General features: G+C 38.7%; 1 protein-coding gene across 1 annotated transcript in view, besides 1 other annotated feature; it reads right to left on the bottom strand.

Moving 5' to 3' along the window:
- RNF103-CHMP3 (RNF103-CHMP3 readthrough) overlaps positions 1-25879 on the bottom strand; it is a 217693-nt gene that overhangs the window by 185098 nt on the left and 6716 nt on the right. The window lies entirely within an intron of this gene.
- Positions 6156-7355: an enhancer, noted in NCBI's record as "P300/CBP strongly-dependent group 1 enhancer chr2:86921806-86923005 (GRCh37/hg19 assembly coordinates)". NCBI's record gives its function as "activates an origin of replication core promoter dependent on BRD2, BRD4, P300/CBP, MED14 and CDK7 cofactors, with strong dependence on P300/CBP, by STARR-seq in HCT116 cells {active_cell/tissue: HCT116}" and the evidence as "EXISTENCE:reporter gene assay evidence [ECO:0000049][PMID:35650434]".

Below are 25879 nucleotides of genomic sequence, written 5' to 3' on the forward strand. Positions count from 1 at the left end.
AGATGGAGTTTTGCTCTTGTTGCCCAGGCTGGAGTGCAATGGCTCAATTTTGGCTTTTGGCAACCTCTGCCTCCCGGGTTCAAGCAATTCTCCTGCCTCAGCCTCCCGAGTAGCTGGGATTACAGTCATGCGCCACCATGCACGACTAATTTTGTATTTTTAGTAGAGACTTGGATTTCTCCATGTTGGTCAGGCTGGTCTCGAACTCCTGACCTTAGGTGATCCTCCCATCTCGGCATCCCAAAGTGCTGGGATTACAGGCGTGAGCCACCATGCCTTGTTGGTTTTTAACTTCTTAAACTTGTAAATAAACTTTTTCTTGTTTTTGTTTTTTGAGACAAGGTCTCATTCTGTTGCCCAGGCTGGTGCAGTGGCATGATCAGAGCTCACTGCAGCCTCAACTTCCCGGCCTCAGGCCATCCTCCCACCTCAGTCTCATGAGTAGCTCAGACAACACATGCATGCCATCACACCTGGCTATTTTTCTTTCTTTTTTTTTTGCGGAGGCAGGATCGCCTTATATTGCTCAGGCTGGTTTTTCTTCTTTAAGAAGCATTTGAAATTGTCATATTTATGTTGAAAATTGTGTATTTGACAAGCAAATACACAAGCACAAGTTTCAATTAAGGGGTAGAGTCCATTCTTTAGTTTTAGTTTAAAAAAAGTGTTTAATACACTTTTAATACTTTTATATAGACCAATTAAAGAGATCAAGAAAGTAATACATGTATATAATAATTTTGTAATTGCTAGGCCTACATGGGAGTGTGTTAGTCCATTTTGTGTTGCCATAAAGGAATACCTGAGGCTGGGTAATTTATAAAGAGGTTTATTTTGCTCACGGTTCTGCAGGCTATACAAGAAGCATGATGCCAACATCTGCTCCTGGCTAGGCCTTCAGGAAGCTTCCAATCATGGCTGAAGGTGAAGGGGGCCCAGAATGTCACAAAGTGAGAGAGGAAAAGGGAGAGAAGGTGGAGGGCAGTGTTTTCTTAAACAACTAATTCTCGTATAAACTAACAGAGCAAGAACTCATTCATTACCACCAGGACAGCCTCAAACCATTCATGAGGGATCTGCTCCCATGATCCAAACTCCTCCCATTAGGCCCCACCTCCAACTTTATCATATTTCAACATGAAATTTGGAGGGAACAAATATCCAAACCGTATCAGGCAGCCTGATCATGTCACTCAGTAAGGAAACGCTTTTAAACTGTCTTAAAACAGTCTTAGGCCATTTTTATTCATATTGTTTTCTTTGCAGTTTTACTAACTTTCTTTTAACATTTTCAATAAATTTTCATGTTGTAAATAACATTAATTAAAATCAATTTACAACCTTTATATAAATTAAATCAACTCCTTCTACCTTTAGAAAAATTTCATTTTGTCTTAAGCCTGTATAACAAAAATGTATTATTTTTACTATATGAGTTTTAAAATTTTATGAAAAGCCACTAGGGAGATTCATTTCAAGAAAGGTAAGCTAATCTTAACTATCTGATTTTATTTCAGGGACAGATGGTTAAAAAGACATAGCAACCACAGTAGAATCTCATTTAGTAGAAATTTGTGATAAGAGTTTGGGACCTACTTGGATAAGGTAAAAATTGAAGTAGACATAATGTCTTTTTTTGGGAGGAGGAACCACATAAAAAGATAGGCAAATAAGTAAGCCAAAATAAACAGATCTTCAGGAAAAGATATCATTCTCTACTCAAAAGAGCATTGGCAATTATTATTGGATTGTTATATCTACAACTTACTGATCATGCTAATGTACTATGGGCTTAGATAAAATAATTTTTATACAGAGGTCCCCTGAGACCTGGAAATTATTTCAAGAGCTCCTCCAGAGGAGAAAGACTATGCTGGTCAACCTGCCTGTGGGATAAAAAAAATTGCATAGTATCTCCTCATCTCAGTACAAAGTACTGTATAGAGTCTATCACTTAGAATTTTAAAAATATTAATCATGTTCATGACATCCTGTAGCAAATACACTGTAATTTGTAACAATATACAAAAAATAAAAAGTATATGATACTATCTATAAATATACTTTTCATTTTAATAATTATATATAATTTTAGCAAATTATATACATAATACATTAAATTATATATATATAAAATTTCAATAATTTCTTTTTTTTTGAGACAGAGTCTTGCTGTGTCATCAAAGCTGGAGCATAGTGGCATGATTGCAGCTCACTGCTGCCTCGACCTCCTGGACTTAAGAGATCTTCCTGGCTCAGGCTCTTGAGTAGCTGGGACTACAGGCATGTGCCACCATGCCCGGCTAATTCTTATTTTAAAATTTTTAAAATATTTTGTAGAGATAGGGTCTCACTATGTTGTCCAGGCTGGTCTTGAACTCTTGGGCTCAGTGATCTTCCCACTTTGGCCAACCAAAGTGCCAGGATTACAGATGTAAGACACCACACCTGGCCTAATTTTAATAATTTCTTTCTGTACCTCAATAAATCATTTTTCATACATTTAGGGATGCATACACCCACTTTGGAAGCTACTGTTCCAGTCATAGAATTTTATCATTAACACTACCAACTAACCTCATTTGATTAAGATTTATTGACCATTCCACCCCACAACAACAGAATGTAAATTCTTTTCAAGTGACAATGGGAATATTTATTAAAATATAGCATATTTTGGGCCATAAAGCAAGTGTCAATAAGCTAAAAAGAATTTAAGTCACGTATAGTATGTTCTCTGACAACGATGGAAATAAATTAGAAATCAATGACTGCTGAAAAATTGCTGGGTAGACCCCAAATATTAGGGAACTAAATAACAGACTTCTAAATAATCAGTGGGCCAAGAAGAAATCGAAAGAGAAATGAGAGTATTTTAAATGGAGTGAAAATGAAAATCCAATATATCAAAATGTCTGGGATGCCCTTGAAGCAGCACTTAAGGAAAATTTTACAACACAAAACACTTATGTTAGAATAGAAAAAAAGGTCTCAAATCAGTGACTTCAGCTTCCATGTTAAGACACCAGAAAAAGAAGATTAAACTCAACATGCACAGAAAAAAGAAAATAATAAAGATTACAGCAAAAATAATGAAATAAAAATCAGAAAAACAACAGCAAAAGTCTGTGAAACCAAAACTGCTTCTTTGAAAAAATAAATCAATAAAATTAATAGACCTCTAGCTAAGGTGATTAGGAAAAAAAGATAGAAGATGCAAATTAACAATATCAGTAATGTGGGATGCAACATCACTGCAAGTTATACAGATATTAAAAGATAATAATGGAATATTATGAATGACTCTACACCAACGAATTCAACAAGTTAGAGCAAATTCTTTGAAAGGAACAAAATACCAAAGCTCACTCAAGCGGAAATAGCCTAAATAGTCCTATACTTATTTTAAACATTTAATTTGTAGTTAAAGGCTTTGTCACAAAAGACTCCATATCCAGATGGCTTGCTGCTCTGATGAAGTCTACAAAATCACAAAAATAAAATAAGACTAATTCTACTGAAATTCTTTTAGAAAATTGAAAAGTAGGGAATATTGCAATGAATTCCATAAATGAAGGATTAACCTGATACCAAAAAGCAGACAAAGAAAAGCAAACTACAGACCAATATTCCTCATGAGCACAGATGCAAAAATTCTAAACAAAATATTAGCAAATTTAATTCAACAATATATAAAAAGGATAATGTGGCTGGGAAGGGTGGCTCACGCCTGTAATCCCAACACTTTTGGAGGCTGAGGTGGATGGATCATGAGGTCAGGAGTTCAAAACCAGCCTGGCCAATGTGGTGACACCCCATCTTTACCAAAAATACAAAAAAAATTAGCCGGACATGGTGGCTCACGCTTGTAGTCCCAGCTACTCGGGAGGCTGAGGCAGAAGAATTGCTTGAACCCACAAGGTGGAGGTTGCAGTGAGCCAAGATGGTGCCACAGCACTCCAGCCTGGGTCACAGAGTGAGACTCCATCTCAAAAAAAAAAAAAAAAAAAAAAAAAAAGGATAATGCATCATGACCAAAGTGGGGTTTATTCTAAGAATGCAAGGCTGGTTTGAAATCCAGAAGCCAATCAAGGCCAGGTGCAGTGGCTCATGCCTGTAATTCTAGCACTTTGGGAGGCCAAGACAGGGGGATCACTTCAGCCCAAGAGTTCAAGAACAGCCTGGGCAACATAATGAGCCCCTGTCTTGACCAAAAAATAAAATAAAATAAAAAAAAGCCAGCTGTGCTGGCACTTGCCTATAGTCCTAGGTACTTGGGAGGCTGAAGTGGGAGGATCACTTGAGCCAGGGAGGTCAAAAGTGCAGTAAGCCATGATTTCACTACTGCACTCCAGCTTGGGTGACAGTGAGAAGCTGTCTCTTAAAAACAAACAAACAAAAACCAAAAACCAATCAATGTAATTTCCTATATTAACAAGCCAAAAAGAAAAAACATATGATCTTCTCAATAGATGAAGAAAATTCATTTAGCAAAACTCAACAACAATTTCTGATAAAAACTCTAAGCAAATTACTATTAGAACATCCTGAACTTGATAAAGGGCATCTAAAAAAATTACAGTTACCATTATACCTACTAGCAAAAACCTAAATGCTTTCTTCCTAACATCAGGAACAGATAAGGATGTTTATTTTCACCACTGCTATTCAATATGGCACTGGAGATTACAACCAGTGCAATCAGACAAGAAAAAGAAGTAAAGGGCATCCAGACTGAAAAGGAAGAAGTAAAATTGTTATTATTTGAAGACAACATGATCATTACGGAAAATTCAAAGGAATTTGCAAAACAGGTAGATGTTAGAAGTGACAAGTGATTAGAAGTAGGTTTAACAAGGTTATAGGATACAAGGTCAAAATACAAAATTCAATTGTATTTCCATACACTATTGAAGAACAATTTGAAACTGAAAAAAATTTAAAAGCCACACATATGATTGCATAAAAAATTAAATACTTAATGATGACTGAAAACTACAAAATATTGCCAAAAGAAATTAAAGAAGACCTAAATGGAGAAACACACTTTGTTCATGGATTGGAAGACTCAACATTAAGATGTCAACTGTCCCCAAATTGATTTATATATTCAATGCAATCCCAATTAAAATCTCAATAGGCTTTTTGTAAAAATTGACAAATTGATTATTAAATTCAAATGGAAATACAAAGTACCTAGAATAGCCAAAACAACTTTTACAAAAGAAGAACAAAATTAAAGAACTTTCATTACATGATTCCAAGGCACTATAAAACTACAGTAATCGAGACAGTATGGAATTGGCATTAAGACAGACAAATAGATAAATGGAAAGATGGTGGATCCCAGAAATAAACCCACATATATGTAAACAACTGATGTTTTCATAAACTTTAAAGGCAATTCTATTTTTTTCAACAAATTTTACTGGAACAATTGGATAGCCATATCCCCCCCCAAAAAAAAAGAAAAAAAGAAAATGAACTTTGATCCATACCACACAGTACACAAAAAAATTAATTCAAACTGGATCACAAACCTAAATGTAAAATCTAAAAGTATAAATGTTCTAGAAGAAAACACAGGAGAAAGTCTTTGTGACCCTGGTTTGGTCAATGGTTTCTTAGAAACAATACCAAAATCACAATCCATCTATAATTTTTTTTTACTTTATCCAAATGAAGAACTTCTGCTCTTTGAAAAACACTGTTAAGAGAATGAAAAGACAAGAGACAAGTGTTGGAAAAATATTTGTAAATCACATATCTGATAAAGAACTGTGTCCTTTAATGTGCAAAGAATATATATATTTTCAAAACTAACTAATAAAAGTTTAAAAAATTAACAACCTGCCGGGCACAGTGGCTCAGGTCTGTAATGCCAGCACTTTGGGAGGCCAAGATGGGCAGATCATGAGGTCAGGAGATCGAGACCATCCCGGCCAACACGGTGAAACCCTGTCTTTACTAAAAAAATACAAAAAAATTAGCCGGGCATGGTGGTGGGTGCCTGTAGTCCCAGCTACTCAGGAGGCTGAGGCAGGAGAATGGCATGAACCTGGGAGGCGGAGCTTGCAGTGAGCCGAGATTGTGCTACTGCTCTCCAGCCTGAGCGACAGAGCAAGACTCTGTCTCAAAAAAAAAAAAAAGAAAAAAAAAACATTAACAACCCAACACAAAAATGGGCAAAATAAGACTTCATCAAAGAAGATACACAGACGGCAAATAAGAAAATGAAGAGATGTTCAAAAAATCATTAGCCATTAGATAAATACAAATTAAAAATCATGATGAGATTCTTCCACACCCCAATTGGAACATCTTAAATTTTGAAGACTGTCCATGCCAAGTGTTGTCAAGGATGTGGAGCAACTGTAACTCTTATATATAGCTGGTGGGAATGAAAAATGGTTAACCACTTTGAAAAACAGTTTGGCAGTTTCTTAAAATTTAAACATACACTTACCATATAACCCAGTTGTAGGATATAATAAATTCCTCTTCAAAGGTTTTAGCCTGTAAATTGTTAAGTACAATGAGTTCTGGTATCAGTAAGTTCAGCTCCCTGTTCTTTATTTTAAAGCTTAACTTCCTCGTTCTCTTCTCTCCTTGCCCCTAGTTTCAGTAAACAAACTCCTCCTAGCCTCTATCACCTGCTCCATCCTGAGTCACCTCTGGTCACCTGCTCTGTCCTGAGTCATCCCTGGTCAGCTGCTCTGACCTGAGTCATCCTGAGTCACCTGTTCTGTAACCGTCTTCCCCGCTAAACAACGCACCCCACCACTCTGACTCATACCCCTGCTCTCTTTAAAATAGCCAATTGGAATTGGCTTAGACTGTGTCGTCCCACCCTAGCCAATAGGGGAACAACACAGCAGTAGGGGCTACCTGTGTCAGGAATAAGAACCCCTTCCCCTTCCTTGTTCAGATGTGCTCTCGCCATTGCTCCATCCACGAGGTGCGCCCTTCTATAGAAGTAAAATTGCCTTGCTGAGAAAATTAAATTTATGTTCGAGTGCTATTTCTTTTGTGGCATCAAAAATTTATTTCTAACACAGTCATTCTATTCCTAGGTATTTACCTAGAAGAAATGAAAGCATATGCCCATAAAATTTCTTTTGCACAATTGTTCATACCAACTTTATTTGTAAGAGCCTCAGACTAGAAATAACCCAAAAGTGCATCAATAGGTTAATGGATAAACAAATTGTGGTAAATTTGTACAATGGAATACTACTCATTCTAAGGAACAATAAAATAAATGAAATATTGATACATGCTATAACATGGATGAATCTCAAACTAATTACATGAAGTACAAGAGGGCAGGCAAAAAAGAGTACATATTGTATAACTCCATTTATGTAAAAGTCTAGAAAATGCAAAATAATCTATAACAACAGGAAGTATATCATGTGGATGGGCATAAGGCAGGGAAGTGCAGGAGGGAGAGATTACCAAGTGGCACATGATCCTTTTGGTGTGATGGGTGTATTCATTGGCTGGACTGTGATGATTGTTTCACAGATGTACACATATGTCAAAACTCACCAATTGTATACTTTAAACATGTGCTGTTTATTGTATATTAACCACATCTCAATAAAGCTCCATTATATTCTGTATTTCCTCCTTGAAGAAAATCTGTTTTAAAATAATGTTTTATCCTTATGGTTAGGTACTTTACAATGCTGTATTAATTATCATTTGGAATTCTATAAAATCATTTATAGAATTTACACTTTATGTCTATTGTGTAGTTCTTACAAAAGATTCATTAGAATATTTTGAAATCACTTAAAAGGAAGTACAGTTATAGATTTTGTATTGGTTCCATTTTATTCATTGTATTATTCAAACCTATTGTATCTTTACGAAATTTTTAAATTATTTTGATAATGTAGATTTATTGTCTTCAATTATAATTACACATTTATTGTTTCATTGATGATAGATGATTCTTTTACATATGCTTGACTGGGGTGTGGGGAGGGAGTCTTTTTTGAGGGTGGTTCTGTGGAGGCAACTTGAAATTTCTTAAACTCTACATTAAGTTGGGGCTCTTTTTTTAATTGCTTCAGAAATTTTATCTTCAATTATTCCTTTTTTTTTTTTCTTTTGACAAGGTCTCACTCTGTCACCCAGGCTGGAGTGAAGTGGCCCAATCATGGCTCACTGCAGCCTCGACCTCCCTGGCTCAAGTGATCCTCCCACTTCAGCCTCCTGAGAAGTTGGGACTACAGGCAAGCTCCATTACACCCAGCTTTTTTTCTTTTTTTTTTCCTTTTTTTTGAGACAGAGTCTCACTCTATTGCCAGGCTGGAGTGCAGTGGTGTGATTTTGGCTCACTGTAACCTCCACCTCCCAGGTTCAAGCAATTCTCCTGCCTCAGCCTCCTGAGTAGCTGGGACTACAAGCGCATGCCACCACGCCCAGCTAATTTTTGTATTTTTAGTAGAGACAGGGTTTCACTGGGTTGGCCAGGATGGTCTTGATCTCTTGACCTCGTGATCCACCCGCCTTGGCCTCCCAAAGTGCTGGGATTACAGGTGTGAGCCACCACGCCTGGCCTTTTTTTTTTTTTTTCAAGTACAGATGAGGTCTTGCTACGTTGCCCAGGCTGGTCTTGAACTCCTGGGCTGAAGTGATCCTTTCACCTCGGCCTCCCAAAGTGCTGGGTTTACAGGTATGAGCCACCACACCCAGCTTAATTATTTCTTAAATTGTGCCTATTGGCTGGGTGCGATGGCTCGCGCCTGTAATCCCAGCACTTTGGGAGGCCGAGGCAGGTGGATCACCTGAGGTCAGGAGTTGGAGACCAGCCTGGCCAACGACTCTGGAGACTAAGGCAGGAGAACTGCTTGAACCCAGGAGGCAGAGGTTACAGTGAGCCGAGATCGCACCATTGTACTCCAGCCTGGGCAACAAGAGCGAAACTCCGTCTAAAAAAAAAAATTGTGCATATTGCTGGCCTTTTCTTTACCTTCTTATATAGCTCTGTGTCTTGTCAGTTGGAGCTTAGATGCACAGAGCCACATCTTTTTTGGAAGAGACTTTGGATACTATGATCTCCCAACCTCTTCAACTTATAGACAAGGAAACAAAGGCACAGAGAATGTCTTACCTAAGGCCAAATAACTGGGTGAACTGGTTTGGAACATCAAAGTTTTAATTTCCTGTTCTATGTCCTTTGTACTCCACATCCTCTTTTTCATCTTTTTAGGATGGATCATCATTTCCATTTAAGGGTTCTCTGCTTAACTTCCCTGTGGCTTGAGACATGTTTTCATGTTGTTTCCTTTATTACTTGTTAGCTACATTGTCTCATTTCTCTTGGGGAAGCAAACCTGTGTTGTGTGAGAAAGCTTTTAATAACCTTTTCCCCCACCCTGCTACTCTATGACTATGACCTATCTTTTGATAAACTGTTTCCTAATTTTTAGTCCTCAGGTCTTGTTTTTTGGTTTTACTTTCTTTTCTTACAGTCAATTCAGTTGCTTCAGTCTCATGTTTGTGGTTCTTAAGATTTTCCCTCTATTTTCTTCCTTTTTCTTTGGGATCTTGAGGTTATAAAACCTTTCCCTCCCACCCTCATTATGACTGAGACTTACTTTGTTAATTCACGTCTTGTTTAATCTTATTTTGTTTGTCTTCTACATCTCTATTGTTACTTTAGTGGGTTTTCTCAAAACACTCATATTCATTCCATCTTCTTCACAGAACCCTTTTGCTTATAACTCGGGAAAACACAGAAGTTCAATTGTATTCTACAAACTATCATGTGAAGTAAATTATCAATAAAGATTAGGATGGTAAATAGTTTTTGTCTGACTCCTCCCCTTGTGAGCCATCTCTCTGAGCACCTCTTGTTTCCCTGATGAGCTCTTGCTACCAGGTATAGTAAACAGAATTGATATGAGATCAAATGAGAAAGTGTGCATGAAAATAATTTAACTAAGAATACACTGAGCAAATATATTAGTGTCAAAATCATGATATCAATTAACTAAGATTATTAATTAATGTTAAACTTTAAAATAAAAGATAAAGGATAGTTACATGTATATTACAGTTAAATTAAATGCTGCTTTTGTGGGGGCACATGGTGGACCCCTGTACTAGAATTCCTTTTCCCAGAACTATGCAGGCCAGAGCCACATTTCAGAAACTATTTTTTTAAAGGATCAGAAATCAATTGGAATTATAATAAAACATATGACACATCTGATGAAACATAATGTTCATATAAAATAAAATGTGCTTACTTGTTTGCAATTATCTATATGTATACATTTTTATATACAGTAAAAACAATCATCTATTTTTCAGACACTGAGCTGGAACCACCCAAGTAAGCTACTCCTGGATTTCTGAATGTCTGAAACTGTGTAACATGTTTGTTTTTTCAAGCTGCTAAGTATTGGGATAATTTGTTATGCAGCCATACTTAACTAATACAGCAACTCTGCCATGACATTTCCTCCAAACTCTTTCAGGGTACAAGGGACTGGGTAATGAGAAGGGAGGACCAGCTCAGGAAATTGTTCCAGGGCTTTCATCATTGGGAGTGGTTAGATCAATGCTTTGTCACTTCTTTTCCAATAGTAAATCGAGTCATGGATTTCCAGCACTCCCTTAGTTCTAAAGGGAGAACCATGACTCTGTTCATAGCAAGAACATGGAGTCTCTTACAGAAGGCATTTTTCTCTTTATGTGTGTATAAAGTTGATGTGTTGAGGCCGGGCATGGTGGCTCATGCCTGTAATCCCAGCACTTTGGGAGGCGGAGATGGGCGGATCACCTGAGGTCAGGAGTTCCAGACCAGCCTGGCCAACATGGTGAAAACGCATCTCTACTCAAAATACAAAATTAGCTGCGCGGTGGTGCTCGCCTGTAATCCCAGCTACTCGGGAGGCTGAGTCAGGAGAATCGCTTGAACCTGGGAGGCAGAGGGAGGTTGCGGTGAGCTGAGATCGTGTCACTGCACTCCAGCCTGGGCGACAGAGGGAGACTCCGTTTCAAAAAAAAAAAAAAAAGATAATCTGTTGAAAAATTAAGCAGTATCATCATCTTGAGCCCTCATCAACAGGCATTAAATGTAATTTTTTGTTTGTTTTTGAGACGGAGTCTCTCTTTTGTCCTCCAGGCTGGAGTGTAGTGGCGGAATCTTGGCTCACCGCAACCTCTGCCTCCCGGGTTCAAGTGATTCTTCTGCCTCAGCCTCCCAAGTAGCTGAGATTACAGGTGCGTGCCACTGCGCCCGGCTAACTTTTGTATTTTTACTAGAGATGGGGTTTCACCGTGTTGGCCAGGCTGGTCTGGAACTCCTGACCTCAGGTGATCCGCCCACCTCCGCCTCCCAAAGTGATGGGATTACAGGTGTAAGCCACTGTGCCCAGCAATGTAATGTATTAAACTGCTAATTATTCATTGGTCTTAAAAATTTCATTTCTAACAAGTGAAATTTATATAATTACGGTTAATATTAATGGTAATAGAAAAGGAGGAGACCTAGAATTTTTCTTAACAGTCAGTGCATCGCATTGACATATTATAATTTTTGTATTATAGAACAGAATTTTTGTTTTTTGATACAGGGTCTCACTCTGTCATCCAGGCTAGAGTGCAGTGGTGCGATCACGACTCACTGCAGCCTCAACCCTCAGGGCTCAAGTGATCCTCCCACTTCAGAGTCCTAAATCACTGGGAATATAGGCGCATGCAACCATGCCCAGCTAATTTTTAAATTTTTTGGAGAGAAGGGTCTTGCTATGTTTTGCAGGCTGGTCTTGAACTCCTGGGCTCAAGTGATCCTCCTGCTTTGGCCTCCCAAAGTGCTGGGATTACATGGATGAGCTACCACGCCTGGCATAAAACATAATTTTAATTCAGTGCTTCTATACTACTTAAATACTAGTGCTAAATTGGGAGAGGTGCAGGGAAGAGAAAATTGAAGATAAATTGACAATTTAGTGATCGGGTATGTTGAAACCAGTTATTTTTCTGTTCTCCTAAAAGGGATGCTGTCACTTTAAATTTAATATAAACCAAACACTGGTCTGCCAAGGGAAACTGGCAAAAGAGTTGTTAAATTGGTAACTTAGGTTAGTAAGTTAAAATTGCCAAACTGGGTTCCTAAGATGGCCACGGAAGACAGTAAAATTAGGTTGAATTTTCCTAAGTGGCTGAAAACTATCTTCTGTTTGGTGGAAAATATGCAAGAAGTTTTGGCTCCTGACTATAACACAGTGTCTTGTATGTTTTATATGGAGAAATGAGAGTGAGAAAAGTGAGAGTGCGGTTGGAAAAATATGTGACAAGCTGCCCAAGGAAGATTGAAAAAATCTTGTCACTGTTTTTACAATTTCTTTCAGAAGCATGTAGATATTTTACTTCTGAGTCTCAGGAGCAGTCATATAAAATTCTTCCCAGAAAAAGTAGTAAATTTGACAAACTGCCAACAAAAGGACTTAGTCTAAGTAAAACTTCAGGAAATTTAGAAAATTATAGAGTTTTAGAGGGCATTAAGAAACCATGAGGAAAGAAATCCATATGTGTCATAGAATATATACACACATGCATATACACACACATGCACACTCATGTATAATATTTTTAGTAAGATACTCTAAGGAAATATTGGCTTGGCCGGGCACGGTGGCTCACGCCTGTAATCCCAGAACTTTGGGAGGCCGAGGCGGGTGGATCACCTGAGGTCAGGAGTTCGAGACCAGCCTGGCCAACATGATAAAATCCTGTCTCTACTAATAATACAAAAAAAATTAGTCAGGCATGGTGGTGTACACCCATAATCCCAACTACTCAGGAGGATGACGCAGGAGAATCACTTGAGAGGTGGAGGTTACAGTGAGCTGAGATGGTGCCATTGCACTCCAGCCTGGGCAATAAGAGTGAGACTCTGTCTCAAAAATATATAGATAGATAGATAGATAGATAGATATAGATATAGATAGATAGATAGATAGATAGATAGATAGATAGATATAGGCTTTAGGTGACTTTAATTGCAAATTGTTTTAGCTGATTTCTGTGCTGTGTTTTGGAAGTCTAACTTTGGTATAGGGTCAGGCAGAAACCCACCATTTAATTAAGGAAAGACATCTTCTGCTCCTGCACCTTTCCCAAGGATTCCAAGAAAATGTAGCACTGTTTACCACCACTTGGTAAAGTTGTACAGCATCTGCAGGACTAACTCCCCCCTTCATAGACGTATTTAATCTCCAAAGGTCTAAAATTGCAAAACAATTCTCATGATATAACAGCTTTATGGTGGACACATTTATGAAAAGGTTATATTATAGTGGTTCATACCTGTAATCTCAGCACTTTGGGAGGCTGAGGCGGGTGGATCACTTGAGGTCAATAGTTCGAGACCAGCCTGGCCAACATGGTGAAATCTGTCTGCATGAAAAAATATAAAAATTATCCAGGCGTGGTGGCACACACCTGTAGTCCCAGCTACTCGGAGGCTGAGGCAGGAGAATTGCTTGAACCCGGGAGGTGAAGGCTGCAGTGAGCCGAGATCACGCCATTGCACTCCACCCTGGGCAACAGACAGAGATTCTGTTTCAAAAAAAAAGGTTATAGGCCTGGCCTGGTGGCTCACACCTGTAATCCTAGCACGTTGGGGGCTGAGGTGGCTGGATTGCTTGAGTCCAGAAGTTCAAGACCAGCCTGGGCAGCATAGTGAAACTCTGTCTCTACAAAAAATAAAAAATTAGCGGGTATGGTGGTGCACACCTGTAGTCCCCACTACTCAGGAGGCTGAGGCAGGAGGATTGCTTGAGGCTGGGAGGTGGAGGTTGCAGTGAGTCAAAATTACGCTACTGCACTCCAGTCCAGGTGGCAGAACCAGACTCTGTCTCAAAAAAAAAAAAAAAAAAGAAAAGAAAAAAAAAGGTTATAACTAAACAGAGAGTATTTGGTGAAGAACCAGAGTAAGCAGTGACAATTTTACCTACAAGAGAAATGTAGGCGGGAGAGGTCCCAGAGGGCTCCTGTGATGTAGAGAGGCTTCAAGGAAAAGGTGTGATTTCTGCTGGGCTCTGACAGTAGGAACAGATTTGGGATTGAGAGGAAGGCACTAGATTAGCAGAGGAGCTGAGGGGAGCACCAAGAACAGTGTGAACAGACAAAATGAGGCAATGAATTTAGATCAGGAGTAAAGGCTTATGCCGGGAAGTAATTTCCAGAACCAATGGATCAGTTGAGAGAGACAAGGAAGGTTATTGGGTTTAATAAATGGGCAGTGCATGGAGACCCCTGGAGGTGCTATTTCAGCAGATTAGTCATCTATGGACAGAACTATTTATTATTTATAATAAACCATTTGATTTTTTTGTGAATAAATTCCTTCATAGTTTTTTATGAAAAATAATATTTTATCCTAAAGATCCCTACTGGAGGACTTTATTGCTTTTTTTTGGCAGGATAAGGTACAAGGATTTTTATCCCTGATAGATGAAGTAGCTTGAGAAGCTCCCCTTATTTCAGTAATTTAAACCTAAAAACCTTTGTCTTCAAATCCTTGTTTAAAAAGAGGAAAACCATTTTCTGGCCCACTAGACCAGTAACAACCAAAAAAAAAAAAGATTTCAGTCATTATGCCATCGAAATATACACCTTGAGCAGACCTGTAGACTTTAGGTTCATTTCCTTCAATTTGCTTCAAGGCATTGAACTCAACTCTTCATTGAAAAAGCTGTTGCAGACCCAAGCCAGAGGATCCCGGCAAAGTATGAATAGTTGGTTCTGTGGCTTTTGCTTATGCCTTGGAAAATCATGGAGAGGAGGGTTAGAGAGAAAAGGGCACATGGTACTATGTATACCTACTCTGTTTTTCTTCCATATCACGGGGTGTAGACACTAAGACTGAATGCGCCCATATCTAGGGATTGGAGAAGTACCCCGGATATGATTGGATGAGAAATGATCTATTTCAATGCAATAATGTGTTTTAGCTGATTGTACATTATTGGATAACCATGATCGGGGTTGATTTGGAAAAAGGTGTATAAATTATCCATATTCCTTGCAATTGTGAACCCAACAGTAAACAGAATTATATGAACGAGCTTATTAAAATTTAAAACATAAAATGAGGTTTTACCTTCTGATCTCTTGCATCTTTGCCCTTGAATCAAACATGGATGTGAAATAAAATGATGCATGTTTAAAATGTAGTTATTAAATTCTCCAACTATATCAGTGTTGGAGGCCAAAAGAATGAGGGTTGTGATTAACTCAGTATACCACTGGAGGCTATATGAGTAAACAGCAAACTGTTCTCATAAAGGCAGAATGTTGGCAAACTGACAAATTGCGTCTGCCACCCAGAGGGAACGCTGAGTGCAGTCACGCCTCAGGCGCAAGTGTTTCTTGTGATTAGGCACATCTGAAGCCTGTTAGCAATAATGGGAACCTATGATCAATCAAGCAGCTGACGGATCGCTACCTCCTCCTCCCTGCTCTTTCTATCCAATAAATACGGAGGGCTGTGAAAGCTCAAGGCCCTTGCTCACTAGAAGCAAGGAGCCCCCGACCCCTTCTTTAAAATAGATTCTTTTGTCTTAAGTTTTCATTTCTGCGTTCGTCCTCTTTCATTCAGTCCCGTAGTAACTGTCACAAGCGGCGTTTGTCCTCCTTTGTTCAGTCTCGTAGTGACTGTTACATATTAGGGTATACAAAATTACAGCTAAGAAAAAAATCTTATTCTTTATTGTATTTTTATGGAATTTTATTCATATGGCTTTAGTTTTAGAGACATGAGTTTCTATACTTCTCTTTCATAATGAAGATTACCCTTTTCCTTTTGTTCAAATCAATAAGAAAAAGTGGCTGCAGTTACAAATAAGTTACAGTCACCTACATACAATGGGATGAGGCTCTGGGGGACTTCAGGAGGCAGTGAGTATATTGTGCATGTGGAATGTGAATCACGGGGGTCAGAAGGTAGACTGGGGTAGGCAGCCCCCAGATGGCTCCCAGTGACAGCAGCCTCCTCTTATTCTTGTTCTTGTATAATTCCCTCACATTGATTGTGGCCTGGATCTAGTGACTCGCTTCTAACAAATAGAATGCCAGAAAGGTGAGTCACTTCTGAGATTAGGTTATAAAAATAGGGTGAAGTCTATCTTGCTCTCTTGCTTGCTTATTCTGAGGGGGGCCAGCTGCCTTGTTGTAAGCACCCCACGGACAAGCCCTATGTGGCAAAGAACTGAGAGTGGCCTCTGGCCAACAGCTAGTGAAGAACTGAGGCTGAATCTAACAACCCATGAGGACTTGAATCCTGCCAACAACCACGTGAGTGAGCTTGAAAACAGATGAAGCCTTCAGATGACTGCAGGCTCAGCCAACACCTTAATTGCATCCTGTGAGTGACCCAGCTAAGCACTCCCAGATTCCTGACCCACCTGTGAGACAATGTTAAGTCAAGTTTTGGAGTAAGTTTGGAGTAATTTACAGCTTAATTTACACAGCCCTCAAGTAGCATATGGTCTAATTAAGTAAACTAAGCACATAAATAATAGCTAACAAGTATAATATTTACTATATGCCAGAGATTCTTCTAAGCATTTTACATTTAGTTAATCATTAATCATTTTTATTTATTTATTTTTTGAGACGGGGTCTCACTCTGTCACCCAGACTGGAGTGCAGTGGCGTGATCACTGCTCACTGCAGCCTCAAACTCCCCAGGCTCAGGTAATCCTCCCACCTCAGCCTTCCAAGTAGCTGGGAATACAGGTGCGTGTCACCACACCCAGCTAATTTTTGTATTTTTTGTAGAGATGGGGTTTCGACATGTTGCCCAGGCTGGTGGTCTTGATCTCCTGAGCTCAAGTGATCCACCCACCTCGGCCTCTCACAGTGCTGGGATTACAGGCATGAGCCATCACTCCTGGCCAATCATTAATCTTTATTTCTTTTTTCTTTTTCAGACAGTGTCTTGCTCTGTCACCCAGGCTGGAGTGCAGTGGCATGATCTCAGCTCACTGCAACTGCAACCTCTGTCTTCTGGGTTCAAGTGATTCTCCTGCCTCAGCCTCCCGAGTAGCTGGGATTACAGGCTTCCACCACCATGCTCGGCTTATTTTTTTTTTTTTTTTGTACTTTTAGTAGAGACGGGGTTTTGCCATGTTGGGCAGGTTGGTCTCAAACTCCTGACCTCAAGAGATCTCCCCACCTTGGCCTCCCAAAGTGCTGGGATTACAGGTGTGAGCTACCGTGCCCAGCCAATCATTTCACCTTTATGACAACTCTATTAGGTATTATTACTATCACCATTTTATAAAGAAATTAAGGCAACATGAGGTTAAATAACTTGCTCATGGTCACACAGTAGAGCTGAGTGTCAAACTCAGTTTGGTGCCGGATTTCACGTTCATTTGTACTGCCTCTTGCCATTTCATATACCGTAATAGAAGTATGTACGCTTTGTGGAAGTACTACAGCATGGAGAATGATTGTATCTGTAGGATAAAAGGGTCAGAAGATTTGCAGAGACTTAAGTAGGATTTGAAAGATGGAGGAAAGGGATTCCAGTCAGATGGAATAGCATATGTTAAGGTATGGGGGCACAGACTGACTGTTACTATTCCTTTCAAATGTTTGTAATCAGGTAGTGTGGTCTTCTTCATATTCTGACCTTCATTTCTATTGATAAACACCACCCTCTCTGAATTCTAGTAAACCATTACTCTTTTCAAGAAAAGTGTAATTCCTGATTCTGAACCAAGTGCAGTGACAGAGGCTCAGAATAAGTTGAGCAGAAAAATCACCTTGTTTGTTTTAACACGAGGTGATTTAGGGGATTAGCAATGGAGGCACTTGTCTCTTGTAGCAACAGCAGCACATTGTTTACACACTGTCTACATGCTGTCCACTTGGAGTGCCCAACCACTACAATGCTGTCCACTGATCTTGGGAATAAGGGGAAGATCAGTCATAAATTTGATAACCACAATCAAGTTTCTATATTTAAATGTAACTTTAAATAATCTTGGCTGGGTGTGGTGGCTCACGCCCGTAGTCCCAGCACTTTGGGGAGCTGAGGCGGGCGGATCACGTGAGGTCTGGAGTTTGCGACCAGCCTGGCCAACATGGTGAAACCCTGTCTGTACTAAAAATACAAAAATTAGCCAGGTGTGGTGGCGGGCTCCCATAATCCCAGCTACTCAGGAGGCTGAGGCATGAGAATTCCTTGAACCTGGGAGGCGGAGGTTGCAGTGAGCCGAGATTGCACCACTGCACTCCGGCCTGGGGGATGGAGTGAGACTCTGACTCCAAAAAATAAAAATAAAAATAAATAAATAATGTCACATCAGACCCAAATATGACAGAAGAAATGAAAACAGAAAAAAGGGGGGATTAATTATTCACTGGAAAAATTAAAAGAGGTAACACTAAAAACAGAAGAGGCTGTAGATATAACTAGTGACATAAAAAGAGTGGTTGCCTTTTCCCCTCATTATCATAATTATCCTTAAAGGGTCATTAAAATGGTTTTGAGATAGTTGTAGATTTAATGCAGTTGTAAGAAATAATGCAGCGTGATCCCATATACCCTTCACCCAGTTTCCCCCAATGATAACATTTTGCCTAACTACAGCGTGACATTACAACCAAAAAATTAACATTGATGAGTCCATGGAATTTATTCCATTTTCTTCAGTTTTACATGCACTTGTGTGTGTATGTGCTTACTTCTATGCAATTTTATCATGTGTGTAGAATTGTGTGACCACCACAATCAAGGTACAGAACTGTTCCATCACAAGGATCCTTCATGCCACACTTCTGTAGCCGCAGCCATTTCTATCCCTCTTATTGTCCCCAGTCCCTGGCAACCACCAATCTGTTCTTCATCTCTACAGTTTTGTCATTTCAAGAACACTATATAAAAATAATCTTTTGAGGCTGACTTTTTTCACTGAGCATAATTCCTTTGAGATTCATCCATGTTGTTGTGGTATTAACAGTTCATTCCAATTTATTGCTGAGTTGCATTCCATGGTATGGATGTACCGCAGTTTAACTGTTCACCCACTGAAGGGCATTTGGGTTGTTTCTTATGTGGAGCTATCACAAATACAGTTTATATGAGCATTTGTGTACAGGTTTTTGTGGGAACATAAGTGCCCAAGAATGTAATTGCTGAATGCATGTTTAGTTTTGTAAATGAAACAAAACAAAACACCATACTCTGTTCCAGAGTGGCTGTATCTTTTTATACTCCCACCAGCAACGTATAAGTAATCCCAATTTTTCTGCATCCTCAGCAGCATTTGGTATATTACTATATTTTATTTTAGCCATCTTGATAGGTGTGTAGCAGTATCTCATTGTGGTATACATTTGTATTTTGCTAATAACTAATAATTGTTGAATTCTTTTCATGTCCTTATTTGCCATCTGTATAGCCTCTTTAATGAAATGTATGTTCGTCCTTTACCTTTTTCTGATAGGATTTTTTGTACTGTTGAGTTTTAAGAGTTCTATGTATATAGTCTAGATACAAGTCCTTAGCAGGAGATGTGGTTTGCAAAGGTATTCTCTCAGCCTGTATTTTGTTTTTTCCAACATCTTCACAGAATCCTTTGCAGAGTAAAAGTTTTTAATTTTGATGAAGTTCAGTTTAACAACTTTTCATTTCATAGACTGTGCTTTTGGTGTCAAATTTAAGACCTCTTTGTGTAGTCCTGTGTTCCAAAGATTTTCATCTATTTTTTGTAAGTTTTACATTTTACATTAAACGTTTTATTTATTTATTTATTTATTTATTTATTTATTTATTTATTTATCTTTGAGACTGAGTCTCACTCTGTTGCCCAGGCTGGAGTGCAGTGGTATGATCTCAGCTCACTACAACCTCAGCCTCCTGGGTTGAAGCGATTCTCCTGCCTCAGCCTCCTGAGTACCTGAGATTACAGGCGCCCACCACCACACCCGGCTAATCTTTGTATTTTTAGTAGTGACGGGGTTTCACCATGTTTCCCAGGCTGGTTTCAAACTCCTGACCTCGTGATCCGCCCGCCTCGGCCTCCCAAAGTGCTGGGATTACAGGCATGAGCCACCGCACCCGGCCTCCTCTGTTGTTTTCATTTTCAATTTCATTGGGTTTTTTTCTTTATTATTTCCTTCCTTCTGCTTGCTTTGAGTTTATTTTGCTCTTCTTTTTCTTGTGTCTTGAAGTGAGACTTCCTTTCTGACCCATGGATTTTTAGAAACGTGCTGGTTAGTTCCCAAGTGTTTGGAGACTTTCCTGTTATCTTTCTGTTCGATTGTTTCTGGTTCAATTCCACTGTGCTCACAGAACATAACTTCAATTTCAATTGAACAAATTGAACAAATTTCAATTTTTTATAATTTGTTGAGTTTTGTTCTATGGCTCAGGATATGATCTATGTTGGTATATGTTTCATGGGCACTGAAAAAGAATGTGTATTCTTGGTGTTATTGGGTGGAGTATTCTATAATGTTGATTAAATCATGTCTGTTGGTGGTGATGCTGAGTTTTTTCAAATCCCTGCTGATTTTGTCTAGTTGTTCTATCAATCATTGATAGATGGGTGTTGAAATCTCCAACTATTATTTTGAATTGATCTATTTCTCCTTCCAGTTCTATCAGTTTTTTATTTCACATATCTTGCTGTTCTGTTGTCTAGTGCTTATATATTTTGAATTGCCATGTCTTCTTGACCCTCTTATCACTATATAACGTCCAATTCTGTCACTGGTAATTTTCTTTGCTCTGAAGTCTTCTTTAGGTGGTATTAATATAGCCATTTATGTTTTCTTTTGATTATGTTTGCATATCTTTTTACATTTAACCTGTCTGTATCATTATGTTTGAAATGAACTTATTGCAGACATCATAGAGTTGGGTCATTTTTCTTTTTCTTTTGAGTAAGGGTCTTGCTATGCTGCCCAGGCTGGTCTCAAACTCCTGGGCTGAAGTGATCCTCCTGCCTCAGCCTCCTGAGTAGCTGGGATTACAGGTATGCACCACAGCACCTGGCTTTTAATCCACTCTGCCAATCTCATTTTTAATTGTTATATTTGCAAATGTACATTTACATTTAATGTAATTACATGTTAGGGCTTATGTATGCCATTTTTTTGTTTCTGTGTGTTCTCTTTGTTTTCATTTATCTGATTTCCTGTATCCTGCCAGCCTGTGGGTTATTTGTTCAATCACCACTATTCATCTCCAGAATCTTTTCATCACCCCAAACAGAAACTCTCTACCCATTAAACAATAACACCCCTTCCCCTTTATCTACGTTTTTATTGCACCCCTTTGTATATCTTTTTAGTGGTTGCTCTAGGTTTTACATTATATATATTCATCAGAGTCTACTGGTGTCATCTTTTTACCAGTTTAAATATAGAAACCTTACCTCCCTTTACATTATCACCCTGTTTATAATAGTCTTAAATATTTTCTCTACATGCATTTAGAACTACATCAAACAATGCTATAATTTTTGCTTCCACTATCAATTCAGAAATTTTAAAAACTCAAGAGGAGGAAAGTTTATTGTATATACCCATATTTTTTTGCTGTGGTTTTCCTTCGTGTTCCAAGTTTCCTTCTTTTATAATTTCCTTTCTGTTTAGGAAATTTCTTTAGCCATTCTTTTTGGTAGGTCTGCTGGTGACAAATTCTCTTACCTTTCCTTCATCTGAGATGTCTCCATTTCCCTTTCATTACTGAAGGACATTTTCACTGGACATTGGATTCTAGGTAGACAATTATTTTAGTTCAGTACTTGAAGAATGTTATGCCATTTCCCTCTGGTCTCCATGGTTTCAGGTTAAAAATCTGCTGTCACTTGAATTGGTTCTCCCCTATCAATAATGCACCATTTCTCTCTGGCTGTTTTCAGTATCAATATTTTTTCTTTATCTTCAACCTTCAGAAGCTTAATTATCACATGTCTTAGCATCATAGATTTCTTTCAGTTTATCCTACTTGGGATGTGTTCAGTTTCCTGAATCTGAAGGTTCATCTCGTTTGCCAAGTAAGGGGAATTTTCAGCTATTCTTTGAATTTTTTTTCCTTTTAAATATCATGCAGATCCTTGAGACCCTGTTCATTATTTCCCCTATCTCTATTGTTCAGATTGGGTAAGTTCTATCTGTCTGTCCTCAATCACTGATTCTATCCTATGGTATCTTCAATCTACTATCGAGCCCATACAGCAAGTTTTAAAATTTTACTTGTACTTGTTTTCTGTTCTATAATTTTCATTTAATTCTTTAATAAATTCTATTTTTTTTTGCTGGGTTTTAAATTTTTGTTTCAAGAGAATTTGAATGATTGTTGAAGCATTTTATGATGCTATTTTAATATCATTGTTAGATAATTTGAACACTTGATTTATCTCATCATTTGACAGCCGTTGATTGCTTTTCTCATCCGTGTTGTGATTTTTCTGGTTCTTGGATGAATGATTTTTTATTGTATCCTGGATATTTTGGATAGCATATTATAAGAGTTTGGATTTGTATCCTATTTAATAATTCTTCTTCTTCTTCTTCCTTCTTCCTTCTTCTTCACAGGCATGTTTAGTTTCCCTCTGGGCCCCACTGACAGTAACTTGGCAAAACTGAAGTACTGACTCACATGGTCTTATTGCAAATGGTGGGCTGGAAGTTCAGCTCTCCTATTGCTCCACTGACAACATCCCAGTGAAAGTGTGGCACCATCTTCGACCACCTTGATGCCTCTGATTGGGGATGTAAGCTTGTCTCCTTGCTCAATCTGCTGGGGGAACTGGAGCATTGTCTGCTTCTATAAGGTAGGGAATAAAAGGTCAGCTCCCAGACAGACCTACCAAAGTCACCCACAGGGAACTGGAGAGCTGCCTCCCACTTCCATAGGTTAAGGGGTAGAGTGGAATATCAACTTCCTGGTTGGCTCTGCTGAAACTGTGCTGGGGGTTGAGGTTTGGGGAATGCAGTTGTTCCATCAGTGTTTGGTTGGACTAGGGAAGAAGCTGATGAGGTTTTTCATTGTTGGGCCACACTTTTTTCTATTCTTTGACTCAGGAAAACAGGCTTTCCATTGGTCTTTGTTTTGTCTGTGCCTATTCATGGTGCAGGGCTGCAGAATTCTGTAGTGCCTTGTCCGACATTTAGGAGGAAATGAGGAAACTAGGGAATTTACCACATGTCATTCCTCAAGTCTTGGGATCCCTAGGCAGTCTGACTTCTTTCCAACTTTCAAAGTCTTCCTATGCTTGTTTTTTGTGTTATATCCAGGTTTTTCTGAGAGGGCCTAGGAAAAATGGGACTACTCTATCTTGGTGGAACCAGAAGTCTCAAAAGGCCATTTTTATTTTATTTTATTTTTTGAAACAGGGTGTGGCTCTGTTGCCTAGGCTGGAATGCAGTGTTGTGATTTAGGCTGACTGCAACCTCTACCTCCTGGGCTCAAGCTATCCTTCTACCTCAGCCTCCCAAGTAGCTGGGACTACAGGCACATGCCACCATGCCCTGCTAATTTTTTATATTTTTTGTAGAGATGGCGTTTCGCCGTGGTGCCCAGGCTGGTCTTGAACTCCTCGGTTCAAGCAATCTCCCCACCTTGGCCTCCCAAACTGCTGGGATTACAGGTGTGAGCCACAGTGCCTGGCCTCAAAAGGCCATTTTTAAACACTTGCTTTAGTTTACCGCCTAGAGTCTCCTCCAGGTTGTCAAAAGCCATGAATCGTGTACTTTATCAATTTACAACCCAAACCTTACCCTGCACAGATGCATAAGATATATAAACAGGCTGAATCAAATACATAGGAAGACTTCCAGTTTCCAGTTTATGTAAGGAGTTTGGAAGTCATCACTCCATTCTAACCACAAGCAAAAACTGAACAAACTCTTCTTAGATTTTGTTTTGAGACAGGGTGTCTTTTTGCCTAAGCTGAGTGCGGGGGCACAATCATGGCTTACTACAGCCTCGACCTCCTGGGCTCAAGTTATCCTCCTGCCTCAGCCTCCTGCATAGCTGGGACTATAGGCGCACATCACCTTGCCTGGCTCATTTTTTGTAGAGGTGTTTTCCACCATATTGCTGAGGCCAGTATTCTTAGATTCTTCACAGACGTGAGGTCACAGGGCAAACTGCTGCCTCCTAAGCTGGGGGGTCAGATAAGCAGATACAGAGAATTGCAACATGCTGGAGCATCATCTCAGAAACAGAAATCTCTGAGTGAAGCAGTACTCATGAGGAAAACCTAAACTGTAATTGAAGAAATGCTGAGACTCACAGTGGACAAGTCTGAGAGTTAAAAACCCTAGGATGGGGCAGTGGGGCGAGGCTGCATGGAAGCTTCTCACACTTGTGTGGGTTTTACCTCTTAGAGCTTTGGTAGGTTCTCACAGTGAATATCAGAGAAAAAAAATCCATGCTTCTGGAAGGAGAAAGGAAAAAGTTATTTTGAAATATGCCAGAGCATTCAATGATAAAGAAAAAATTCTTGGAAGAGCCAGAGGAGAAAAGTACCTTACCTATAGAAGAACAAAGGTAAGAATTATATCAGGACTTCTCAGAAACTATGCAAGCAAGAAGGGAGTAGAATGAAGTAGTTCAAGTGTTGAGAAAAAACCCTCCAACGTAGAATTCTGTATCCTGTGGAATTATCCTTCAAAAACGAAGGAGAAATAAGCACTTTCTCAGACAAACGAAAATTGAGGGAATTTGTTGCCAGTAGACCTGCCTTGCAAGAAATGTTAAAAGAAGTTCTTCAGAGAGAAGGAAAATGATGTAGGTCAGAAATTCTGATCTACATGGAGAAAGGAAGAGCAATAGAGAAAGAATAGTTGAAAATAAAGTAAAAAACTTAACTTTTTCTTGTTGATCTAACAGATGATAGTTTATTCAAAATGATAGCAATGATGTATTGAATGATTATAGTTTATATATAAATGCAAAGAATGACAGCAGTTATACTGGAGGGAATAATTAGGGATATTTCATTATTATAAAGTATTTGCACTACCCATGAAGTGGTACAGTGCTATTTGAAAGTGGACTTGGATTAGTTGTAAATGTATATTGCAACTTTAGGGCAACTACTAAAAAAAGTTGAAAAAAGAAGTACAATTCATATGCTAAGAAATGAAAGACAGAAAGTGAAATCATAAGAGGAAATAATAGCACCCTGCACTTCTGTGGGGCTTCATGGTTTATGAGCACTTAAAAAAATCATATATATAAAAATATGTGTATATTTTTAAATATATGTGTAATTTAAAAATACATATTTAACAATGTTTACTTCACCTACCTTGCAACATTAATATATATTCTCTCAACAATGTTGCAAGGTAGGTGGAGTAGACTTTGTTATTGAAAACAAAACAAAACAAAACAATGAAGTTTGGTTAAAGTTTCCTTTATTCTACTGGACATAGCATGCTTAACAAGTAATCATGGAGCATAATTTCCCCTTTTGAAGTACAATGACTTACAAGTTATAGAGTCAGAAAGATTTGAATTCAAATTCCAGCTCTACCACTTTATCAGCTGTGTAATCTTGGATAAATTACTAATCCCCTCTGTGCCTCAATTTCTTCATCTGTTAACACAGGGATAATAATCCAAATACTATTTATTTTTAAATTTTATTATTTATTTATTTATTTATTTATTTATTTATTTATTTATTTTGAGACAGAGTTTTGCTCTCGTTGTCCAACCTAGAGTGAAATGGCACGATTTCGGCTCACCGCAACCTCTGCCTCCGGGGTTCAAGCAATTCTCCCGCCCCAGGCTCCCGAGTAGCTGGGATTACAGGCATGCGCCACCATGCCTGGCTAATTTTGTATTTTTAGCAGAGACAAGGTTTCTCCACGT

The sequence above is a fragment of the Homo sapiens genome, chromosome 2 (genome assembly GCF_000001405.40).
Source record: "Homo sapiens chromosome 2, GRCh38.p14 Primary Assembly".
In the NCBI taxonomy this organism is placed as follows: Eukaryota; Metazoa; Chordata; class Mammalia; order Primates; family Hominidae; genus Homo; species Homo sapiens.